Here is a 12,427-nt window from a genome sequence, read left to right as displayed (position 1 = left end):
GCTGGTGCCATTCCTTCTGAAACTATTCCAATCAATAGAAAAAGAGGAAATCCTCCCTATCTCATTTTATGAGGCCAGCATCATCCTTATACCAAAGCCTGGCAGAGATACAACAAAAAAAAAGAGAATTTTAGGCCAATAACCCTGATGAACATCAATGCAAAAATCCTCAATAAAATACTGGAAAACGGAATCCAGCAGCACCCAAAAAAGCTTATCCACCACGATCAAGTGGGCTTCACCCCTGGGACGCAAGGCTGGTTCAACATACAAAAATCAATAAACGTAATCCATCACATAAACAGAACCAATGACAAAAACCACATGATTATCTCAATAGATGTGGAAAAGGCCTTTGACAAAATTCAACAGCCTTACATGCTAAAAACTCTCAATAAACTAGGTATTGATGGAACATATCTAAAAATAATAAGAGCTGTTTATGACAATCCCACAGCAAATATCATACTGAATGAGCGACAACTGGAAGCATTCCCTTTGAAAACCAGCACAAGACAAGGATGCCGTCTCTCACCACTCCTATTCAACATAGTATTGGACTTTCTGGCCAGGGCAATCAGGCAGGAGAAAGAAAGAAAGGGTATTCAATTAGGAAAAGAGGGAGTCAAATCATCTCTGTTTGCAGATGACATGATTGTATATTTAGAAAACCCCATCGTTTCAGCCCTAAATCTCCTTAAGCTGATAAGCAACTTCAGCAAAGTCCTAGGATACAAAATCAATCTGCAAAAATTACAAGTATTCCTATACACCAAGAACAGACCAACAGAGGCCAAATCATGAGTGAACTCCCATTCACAATTACTACAAAGAGAATAAAATACCTAGGAATCCAACTTACAAGGGATGTGAAGGACCTCTTCAAGGAGAACTACAAACCACTGCTTAATGAAATAAAAGAGGACACAAACAAATGTTAAAACATTACATGCTCATGAATAGGAAGAATCAATACCATGAAAATGGCCATACTGCCCAAGGTAATTTATAGGTTCAGTGCTATCCCCATCAAACTACCATTGACTTTTTCACAGAATTGGAAAAAAACTACTTAAAATTTTATACAGAACCAAAAAAGAGAACGCATAGCCAAGACAATCCTAAGCAAAAAGAACAAAGCTGGAGGCATCACGCTACCTGACTTCAAACTATACTACAAAGCTACAGTAACCAAAACAGCATGGTACTGGTACCAAAACAGAGATATAGACCAATGGAACATAATGGAGGCCTCAGATATAACACCACTCATCTACAACCATCTGAACTTTGACAAACCTGACAAAAAAAGCATGGGGAAAGGATTCCCTATTTAGTAAATGGTACTGGGAAAATTTGCTAGCCATATGTAGAAAGCTGAAACTGGATCCTTTCCTTACACCTCATACAAAAATTAACTCAAGGTGGATTAAAGATTTAAATGTAAGACCTAAAACCATGAAAACTCTGGAAGAAAACCTAGGCAATACCATTCAGGACATAGGCATGGGCAAAGACTTCATGACTAAAACACCAAAAGCAATGGCAACAAAAGCCAACATAGACAAATGGGATCTAATTAAACTAAGGAGCTTCTGCACAGCAAAAGAAACTATCATCGGAGTGAACAGGCAACCTTCAGTATGGGAGAAAATTTTTGCAATGTATCCATCTGACAAAGGGCTAATATCCAGAATCTACTAAGAACTTAAACAAATTTACAAGTAAAAAACAACCCCATCAAAAAGTGGGCAAAGGATATGAACAGACACTTCTCAATAGAAGACATTTATGCAGCCAACAGAAATATGAATAAATGCTCACCATCACTGGTCATCAGAGAAATGCACATCAAAACCACAGTTAGATACCATCTCACACCAGTTAGAATGGTAATCATTAAAAAGTCAGGAAACAACAGATTCTGGAGAGGTTGTGGAGAAAGAGGAATGCTTTTATACCGTTGGTGGGAGAGTCAATTATTTCAACCATTGTGGAAGATAGTGTGGTGATTCCTCAAGGATCTCGAACTAGAAATACCATTTGACCCAGCAATCCCATTACTGGGTATATACCCAAAGGATTATAAATCATGCTACCATAAAGACATATGCACACGTATGTTCATTGCAGCACTATTCACAATAGCAAAGACTTGGAACCAACCCAAATGTCCATCACTAATAGACTGGATAAATAAAATTCGTCACATACACACTATAAAATACTATGCAACCGTAAAAAAGGATGAGTTCATGTCCTTTGCAGGGACATGGATGAAGCTGGAAACCATCATTCTCAGCAAAACATCACAAGGACAGGAAACAAACACCACATGTTCTCACTCATAAGTGGGAATTGTACAATGAGAACACATGGACACAGGGAGGGGAACATCACACACTGGGGCCTGTTGAGGGGTAGGGGGCTGACGGAGGGATAGCATTAGTAGAAATACCTGATGTAAATGATGAGTTGATGGGTGCAGCACACCAACATGGCACATGTATACCTATGTAACAAACCTGCAGGTTGTGCAAATGTACCCTAGAACTTAAAGTGTAATAATGAAAAAAAAAGAATTGGTTGTGTAAAGGAGCAAAACAAAGTGATTGTTAAATATTTAAATAGCTCAAACCTATGAATGGTAGGAATTGGTAGTTAATCTAGGGGTACAGGAAAGATCATGCATGAGATCTCTCTATAGAAATATTAAATATGATCTCGGATTAAGACATTCTCATTCCTATGAACAGAATAAATGAAATATACCCAATGTTGAATGTATAAAATAACAAATGAATTTTTTTAAGATCATGGCATTTAAAAGTAGTTTCATGATATTGCCGCCCGTGAGTATAAGGATGCAGAAAGTGGCTGCAAAGAAGTAGAAACAAATCAAAGGCAGTCAAGATAATATATGGCCTCAGTAAAAAATGAGGTGTAAAAATATAATAGAATAATTAATAATAGAATAATTTTATATTCAAAATAATATGTATTTCATTATAAAATATTCAAATTTCAGAAAACTATAAAAAACTGTAAAGCATCAAGTAAGTGATAAATTCACTTACTTCTCCTTTGATTGCAGAGGTATTCGTAATTTTCTTTTTTTTTTAAATCCTAAATATCTTAAAATCCCTTGCAGTTGGTCTATAAGTAGTTTTGCTGTCAAATAAGGGTAAAATGGTTTCAATCGTTAGAATGATTAAATGTGTTATATCTGATGTGTTAATTTAATTAAACTTTGATACTATTTTGGGTGGCTTCACTCCAGCCTTGTACTCACAATAAGACTAGAAATTTTCACTGGAAGCTTCCCATTCATGTAGCAAAAAATGATTTATTTGAAAAAGTAAATGTCCTTGTTTTCAGGATATATTAGGTATCTACAATGTAGAAGTACCCACGGCAGCATTAGCTTCCTGTGATTCATCTGTAAAAACCAATTTGTATTCACTAAATTGATATTTATGTATATTCATAAAATATATAATAAAAGCCCACTGTATTTCAGGCAAATATTCACATAAATGAACAACAAACACAATAAAGTAGATGAAGTCTAAGTTTGCATGAAGCTCCAAGTCTGTTAGAATAGAGAGACCACAAGCAACTAAAAAATATAGGATGGGAAATGGCAATAAGTTATGTAAATGATCACAGTGCAGGCATAGAGAATAACAAGCTTCAAGTGTGGGGGCTATACTCAGAAACAGTGGGCAGGGAAGACCTCTCTGAGAATGTGACAAGCTAAAGTCTGAAGAAAAGGAGGCAGGTGTCAGTCATACGAAGAATTCAAGAAAGTTTGATGCAGAAAAACAAAAAGTCATATGAAAGACCCTGATATGTGAAATAACTTGCTGTATTTGAGGACATGAGAATAGGGAGGTGAAATGGAAATATAGATTGGGGAAGCCAAGATAATGAGAAGCCACAAGCAAGATGGGTTTTGTAGGCTATAATAAGGAGATGTTAATTTATAAATAATATTACAAAAAATTATTTAAATGGTGGCAGTGAAATGACCTGATTTATGCTTTGAGAGGTTTATTCTCAATACTGAATGATGAAAGTGATGAGGAGACAAGAATAGAATCAAGAAATCAGTAAGGAGACTAGTGACTTTGTCTAGAATAGAAATATGGTAGCTTAAAATAAGGTTAAGGCAGTAGAGAAAACTGATAGTCCTTGATTATGGATTGGATTCAGGGTGAGGCTCATAGGAGGTATAAATAATAACCTCAAGATTTCTGATATGATCACCAGGCTAGATAGTAATTACATTTGCTGACAATTAGGAAACTGGTAGACAAACAGATTTAGACTGGGATAATGAATAAGGTCAAAATTTGTTCTTTTACTTTTGAGATTTAATTTTGAATTACCTTTTAGACAATGAAGCAGAATTGTCCAACAAGCAAATGTATATAGGACCCTAGAACTCAGAGGAAAGATGTGGACTAGAGACATGAATTATGGAGTCCTGATTTATATAGCTGATATTTAAGTCAGGGAATAGATGAGATAATCTAAAAAGCAAGTTTAGAGCAAGAAAAGAAGACATTATATGTAAAAAAAAAAAAAAAAAAAAAAAAAAAAAGTAGTAACCAGAAGATGAATAAAAAACAAATCATGTCATTTCATACACATCATGACTATCAAACACTGCTGAGAATTCATGTAACATGAAACAAAATAGTGGTAACCTTAAGGTAATGCACAGTGCACTCAACTAGCAAAACCCTCGCTTCAACTTCTGAGAGTGTTGCTGATTAAGAGCTCTCAGCTGGCAGCTCTTTCCAGATATGGCTGACAAGATCACACATTCTTTCTAGGGTCAGCCTAAAACCAGTGACTGGCCTATTTGGAGTTGTATTTTCCCTATCCTTTTCCCCAACTAAAGATAAATCAGAAAAGTAATTCCAGTTTCACAAGGCCTTGTTCTGACTTCATTGAAGCTAAGTTTTCCTTTAGTCTAATTCTGACTCCTTCCTTCCCTCACTGATATGCATTCCCCAATACATTTCCACATGCCAATTTCCACCTCAATGTCTGCTTTCCAGGTAAACAACATATAATAGTTGATAATGGTTATTGGCAAAGAAAGTGGGCCTCATGCTAATATTTTAGAGCTGGATCATAAGTTGGCCAGATGGCAGAGCACCTCACTGGTGGTAGTGGAACAGAGACAGCCCAGCTTAAGATAGCAGCACAATTGTTAAAGTGTTCACTCAAGGAGAACTGGGATAGAATAAACTGTGGAAGAAAATATACTAATAGGCACAATATTATCAGTCATTTGTAATATAAAGAATTAGATTGATGACTTTTGAATGGGATGAATTTTGCTTGGGGAACTTTGTGGCAAAAGATAATAAAAGGTTGAGGATAATTAATCAGTAATTAAAGGCTAGATGTGAAAGCCAGAAAGCTTCCTTGGCAGCAAGTGAAGATATCTAGTTTCCTGCAGCTAGAGGGCAGAGAAAGCTGAAAATCAGGTCCAGTAACAGAACTTCAAAGAATGTTGCATTTTCAACTAAGCAGGTCTGCTGTGCTGAAGTCAGGACTCTGACTGGGAAGGAATGCAACTGAAATCTCTAAAAGGAAACATCTGGGTTGGTACATAAAACTCTCAGATTCCCTAAAATCTCTCAAGTTTTAGAAGTGGTGCTTCAATCCCCACTCTTAGCAGCTAAGAAACTGATCTTTTTTCTTTAATATGCTGCACAGGACTCTGCCCTGTATGAAAAGAACCCACCCCACCACAATCATCCCCAAGTTCCGTTATGGCCACTAAACCAATAACCAGAGTTAAGTCACTCCATAACCAATCCAGGGAAGTCTTGTGTAGCAAATGGATGATAGGGGCTATAAATGCTTGACTGGCCAATAGGTATTAGGAGGGGCTGAGAGAGTATGTAGGAGACAGAAGATGCTGAGTCAAAGGGAGCAGAACATAAATTTGGATAATAGACATTATTATTATGATAATATTTCCCTGATAACATTAACATCCTAGCAAGAGATCTCAGAAAAAAATGCTAATATGCTGCTAGAAAGGCTCTTAGAAAGTGGGGAAAATGGAAGCACCTAAAAAGTGAAGTAGAAAAGCCAGAACTCTCATCAAAGATGATATAAGAAGGGATCAAAAGGCCCAGAAATTTAGGCATGCTAAAGAATGAATATAATGAATAAGGCCAGGATACTCACTAGATAATCATATTGCAACAAAAAGTTTGGAGAGGATTCTATTTATAATTGCAATAATGGCCTACTGGAAAGGATGCCAGCGCCAATGAGGTATTCATTGGTGGCTGTCCTGTTTAGGCTAGGGTTGATGGCAGGAGATATAGTGACTTATTTGAGTTTTCTGCTAGCAATGAGGATGCTAGAAACCTAAAATTCTAAAGTCTGAGTGGTGTTTCTTAACTATTAGAAGCAAGGTGAGTACAATTTCATAGCAAGTCGAATTTTTTTAGTGGGAGCATGGAGGGTTTGATTTGAAGAGAACTAAAATGATGCTTAATGAAACATTGCATTCCCAGGAGCAAGATAGAAGACCAACCAACAAAAGCATTGCTTAAAATATTTAAGCCAAAGAAATCAAGAATGTATATTCAGGAGGCTGATGGCAGTTGGCCTCACAGAAAGGCATAATAATCCTTTGCCCAGGTTCTAAATCTGAGCTGTTTTCAAACATGGAACTTACTAAGGGAAACATGAATCCTTAGGAGAAAGTGTCCTACAGCACTACAACACGTGTTTAAAATATAAAGTCTCTCAATTCTTTCAATGCTTTCCTAAATGAATGTATAGCTGTATTTTCTTTGTGAAGCATTGCTGGTGTTTGGGGAATAACCAGATATTTGGAGGACACACAAGGATTGAATAGACATTGATATACAGGATTAAAAGGATCACCACTGTACTAATATTAAGAGTGGAGGCATATAAACGGCAGGTAGTAAACCGAGTCCTGGTATAGTGCCAGTTCAGAGTGAGTCATCTACTGGGAACATAGACTCTATGATGGCTATTCACCGCTTCCTCAGTACATCATTGGGATAGACATGGGTGACTGGCATAGCAATACCTTGGATTGTGGGTTAAAGGCAACTTCATTTGTAAGGAACAAGTAAAAGCCTCTGAAACTGGCTCCTCCACCCATGCTTTGGCCATGTTTAGCCAAGATTCTCTTCGACGAGATAATAGTTAACAGTTCCAGTCTTGTTCCAAGGCTACACAAACTTGTCTGCTCTTCCTTATAGTATAATTTAAGTTCAAAGAAACCTGAGAGGTCTGGAAATCCAGATAATATCACAATGGTTGACTGTATTGATGGACTCAAGCTGATAAGAACAAATGAGCAAGAGGTGGCCAGTGCATTGGAGGCCTTAGTAAGATATATGTATTCCAGGGAGGCTGGGAGATAAACTCTATATGCAGTTTCAGAGGACCACCTTAGAAACTGTTCACCAGTTAATTTAGTACTAAATTAACTAAACAGAATGATTCATAAAGTCACCAGTTTCTGTAATTGGTAACCCACATGCTGGCAATATAAACACATACATAAAATAGCCATTGCAGGGCTGGAAGCTAGGCATGGCCCTGAAAGCAAAGTCACTCATCAGTACTGATCTAGCTACTGCTACTGCTCACTGTTCAACTTTCCAACAATAGAGACCAATTTTAAGCTCCTTGACATGGGCAGTTCTCCTAGCCAGGGGCTGACACACTATGGCTCATGATCCAAATCCAACTTATTGCCTTTTTTGTGAGTAAAATATTATCTGAACAAAACCACTCTCATATGTTTATGCGTTTTCTATGACTGCTTTTATGCAACAACAGCAAAGTTGAGTTATGGTGGAGACTTTAGCCCACAAAACTTAAAATATCTATTATCTATCATTTTGCAGAAAAATTTGCCAACATCTACTCTCAGAGACCAACATGACACATTGGTCACAAGTTGTCTGTGTTTTGTATCTCTTCTACGCTAGAACTGAAAGTAATTCATCTGACTAGAATCAGCATATATTCCAAGTGTGGGTTTGCCTTCTCTACCCAAAAGGCTTGTCCTTTAGAATGAGGCTTCCAAACACCTACGAACATGAAATTCCACATATTGTATTGGATCAAAAGACAGAATTATCAGAAAAGGAAATATGTCAGTGGGCACATGACTAAAATCCTATCACATACAGTACAGCCCATAAGTTGCTGTCCTAATAGAACAATGGCAGAGACTTTTGAAGATGCAATTGAGATGTCAGCTATGAAATGGTACCCTCAAGCCTCCATCCTCCAGGATGTAATATACAACTCTAAATCAACAACAGTTCTACGGTGCTATATTATACTGAATACATGAATCCAGAAATCAAGGAGTGAAAAGAAAGTGGCTCTGTTTAGCATGACTCTCAGTGACCTACTTGGGGAATTTTTGCTTTCAGTCCCCACAAAGCTAGGCTCTATGGATTTGGAGTTCCTGGCTCTTTAAGGGGGGATATACTGTCACTAAGAGAAACAGCAAGAATTATATTTTGAGTGTGTGTGTGTGTGTGTGTGTGTGTGTGCAAAATGAGGTCGGATAAGAAATGTTAGGGGGTCATACTGACTTGTCCCTTTGTGTGAAGTCCCACAGGATCCTTTCACAGCAGGCTCCTTTCTCTTGCACACTCATGCATCAGCACCTAACTTTTTTGCAAGCTAAGTGGTCTTACAGGATACCAGTGGACTTCCGATGGTTACAAGTTCCTTATACCTAGTACAGCCCAGAAAAGAGAACAAAAATCCCTTATTCCTGATGTAGCTTCCCCAATTTCCAACCAATCAGCACCAAAAGCCTAAGAAGCTATTTGCTACAAATTATTGCCAGTGTCTCACATGCACAGGGAGGCTCAAGGTTTAGCTTATACTGACCTTTTCCTCATTTTAATAGTAAAAAACACACCCTGAGATGGAGATTTTATATGCTAATAATACAAACCATACATGTTAGAGCATGTAGTTGCTAAGTGCATGCACCAACTGCCGGTTTGCCTTTGCAGTTTTAATCTCAGCAGTATTTTATGAATATGCATAAACAACTCCCATAAAAGAAATTCCTCTTAAGGGTCTAGCTGCTGTCTCTCCCTCTGAGAAACTTGCTCTGCCTCTCAGAGTGTACTTTTGCTTTGTGATAAATTACTTGGCCTACTCCTACTTTGAACTCACTCTCATATTCTTTTGTGCTGCAAAGTCAAGAACCTGAACTGGCGCACCAACAATAGTAAGAACACTTAACATGAAATCTATCATCTTAACAAATTTTTAAGTTCACAATACCTTATTGTTAACTATAGGCACTATGTTGTACAGAAGAGCTCGGGAAATCACTCCTCTTGGGTAACTGTAACTTTATAGTCATTGAACAATGATTCCTCATACCTTCCCCTCTCCATCCCTTGCTAACCATCATTCTGTCCTCTACCTTTGACTATTTTAGTTGAAATCCTACCATATATGGCAACATAGATGGACATGAAAGACATTATGCTAACAGAAATAAGTCAGTCACAGAAAGACAAATACTACATGATCCCTCTTATGGGGACAGCTATAGAACTAGGCCTACTGCCTGAACACTTTGGCCTCTGCATGTCAAGGGGGAAGAAGTAAAGGAGTCACTATCCTGGCAAATATAAATTACCCTGTTCATGTGAAGGAAGTAGTTCTGCTGTTATAAAGAAGATAAGGCAGGAATATATTTGTCATCCAGGTAAGCTAATTGAAAACACGATTATATCCCTTTCCCAGATTTGATGGCGAACAGATTAAATGCAGCTGCCACAATCCAGTCAGAGCATGGTGACCAGGAATTTGGACTACTTCAGGACAAGACTCTGGGTTACTCTAGCAGGTAAACCTTTAGTATCAATATAGAGACACTAGTTGAGAGTAAAAGGAATCTAGAATGAATAACAGACAAAGGAGAGAATCCATATAATTTGTGGCATCAAGACCAGATGCTCCTAGAGTTTGTGCTAAGCAAGTGAATCTCTGCAGTGCACCTGAAAGACTATAATGGATACTGTGCAGAGACACCCAGTTCTTCAGGCCTTATTCCCTCAAGTCTCTCTTGCAAGTACTTTTTATTTATGTATTGAGATAATCAAATATTTTTCTACTTTCTATGGCTAACACAATAAATTGCATTAATTTTTTAAAAACAATAAACAACTTTTGCATTTATGATATATTGTCTTTTTAAAAGATAGCTCTGTATTTGATTAATTTTTTTTTAGGCAGGATCTCTTTCTATTGCCCAGTTTGAAGTGCTGTGGTGTGATCACAGCTCGCTGCAGGCTCGACCTCCTTGGCCCAAGCAATCCTCCCCTCTCAGTCTCCCTGGTAGTTGGGACTATAGGCACATGCCAGCACATCTGGCTTTTACATTTTTTGTAGAGACAGGGTCTCACTGTTTCACTCAGGCTGATCCCGAACTTCTGCGCTCAAGTGATCCTTCTACCTCAGCCTTGCAAAGTGCTAGGATTACAGGCATGAGCCCAGCCTTTATTAACTAGTTTTAAAATGATGTTGTGTCTCTAATCATTAAGAGTATGATTCAGGACATTCTTATAATGTACTTGTTAGCTGTTGGTGTCTCATAAAATAAGTGAAATCTATCTCCTCCTCATCTATTTTGTGTAAGAATTATAAAATTTTGTATTTAAATATAGGATGAAATTCACCAGCAAAATCATCTGGGTCTTGAATTTTCTCTTTGGTGAACTTTTTAACAATTAATTATTTAATAAATGTAGGGCTATTAAGATATACTACTACTTTTAATATAAGTTTTAGTGAGTTGTTCCCCAAAGAAATTCTTCATTTTATCTAATTTGCTGAACTTATTGTCATAAAATTATTTGACATTTTCCTTTTATCCTTTTAATATCTGTTGAATGTTCCATCTTTTATTCCTAATATTAATGTGTGTTCTTTATTCCTTTTTTGTTGATCATCTAAGTAGGGTATCATTGGTTTATAAATCTCTGATAAGGGAAATGTAGAACTTTGATGATTTTTTATATTTTTTGTTTTCTTTTTCATTAATTTCTGCTTTTATTGCATTATATCCTTTCTATTTTTTCAAGCTTATTTTGACATTTTTCTAGATTCACGTGGTGGAAAATCAGATCACTAATTTTTAAGTTTGTTTTCTCTAAGGATTTTTATTTTGTTTTTTTTGTTTTTGTTTTTGTTTTGAGACATGGTCTCACTCTGTCATCCAGGCTGGAGTACAGTGGCACAATGATGGCTCATTGTATTCTCTACCTCCTGAGCTCAAGAGATCTTCCCACCTCAGCCTCCTGAGTAGCATGGACTACAGTTGTGCACCACCATGTCTGGGCAATTTTTTAATTTTTTAAATTTTTCATAAAGACAGGGTCTCACCATATAGCCCAGGCTGGTCTCAAACTCCTGGGCTCAAGCAATCCTCCCATCTCAGCCTCCTAAAGCATTGGGATTACAGGCATGAGCCACTCTGACTTGCCAGGATTTTTAAAGTTATTAATTTTTTTCTAAGAACTGCTTTGGTTTCATCTCAAATTATCACTGGTATATTCTCATTATCAGTTAATTCAAAATATGTTCTAAATTTATTTATTAGACTTATTTTAGTAGATTTTTTGTTAGACCTATTTTCACTCAGGGATATTTACAAACATGATGTTTAAGTTCCAAATAATTAGGAATTTTCCAATTTTTTTTACTTCTAATTTATTATTATTATTCAGAAAACAGTCTCTGAAAATATAAATCTTTGGGAATTTGTTAAAATGTATCTATGGTCCAGGATAAGGTCTTTTTTGGTGTATATTCCATATATACTGGAAAAAATGGTTATTCTTAGTGACTTTAATGTTCTAAATGTCAACTTCGTCAAGGAGATTGACGTTGTCCATTTTTTTATATCTTTTCTTTTTTCTTTAGTAGCTATCAACTTTGTAGAGAAAAGTATTTAATAATCCAACTATCATCGTTGATTTGTCTTTTTCTCCTTTAACAGAATTAAATGCATCATATCTTTTGCAACTTTATTATTGGTTATATACACATTTATGATTATGTCTTTTTGATGAATTTAGACTTTAATCGTAAGTAAGATACCTCATTGTCAGTATTTCGTGTCAGTAATTCTTCTTGACCTAAAAGCTGTTTTGCCTGATATTAATATAGCCACTTTCATTTTCATATACTTTTGCTATTATGAAATCTACTTCATCATCCTTTTAATCTATTTTAACTTTTATTTAAAATGCATGTCTTACAGGCCTTTAATTTGTTCATTTTTTAAAAAAACTCAGTTTGAATATCTTTGTTCTTAAGTGTTAGTGTTCATTGATTACAGTTTATGCAATTTCAAAAT

General features: G+C 36.4%; 1 long non-coding RNA gene across 1 annotated transcript in view; it reads left to right on the top strand.

Annotated features, from left to right (window-relative positions):
- Positions 1-9,748: 9,748 nt before the first annotated feature.
- The window catches only part of LOC105374020 (uncharacterized), a 122,436-nt gene continuing 119,757 nt past the window's right edge, over positions 9,749-12,427 (top strand). Inside the window, exon 1 of the long non-coding RNA XR_924301.3 lies at positions 9,749-9,913. This is a non-coding gene — a long non-coding RNA (uncharacterized LOC105374020). The remainder of the gene's footprint in view (positions 9,914-12,427) is intronic.

The sequence above is a fragment of the Homo sapiens genome, chromosome 3 (genome assembly GCF_000001405.40).
Source record: "Homo sapiens chromosome 3, GRCh38.p14 Primary Assembly".
Lineage (NCBI taxonomy): Eukaryota > Metazoa > Chordata > Mammalia > Primates > Hominidae > Homo > Homo sapiens.
This window is presented reverse-complemented; position numbering and strand designations above follow the sequence as displayed.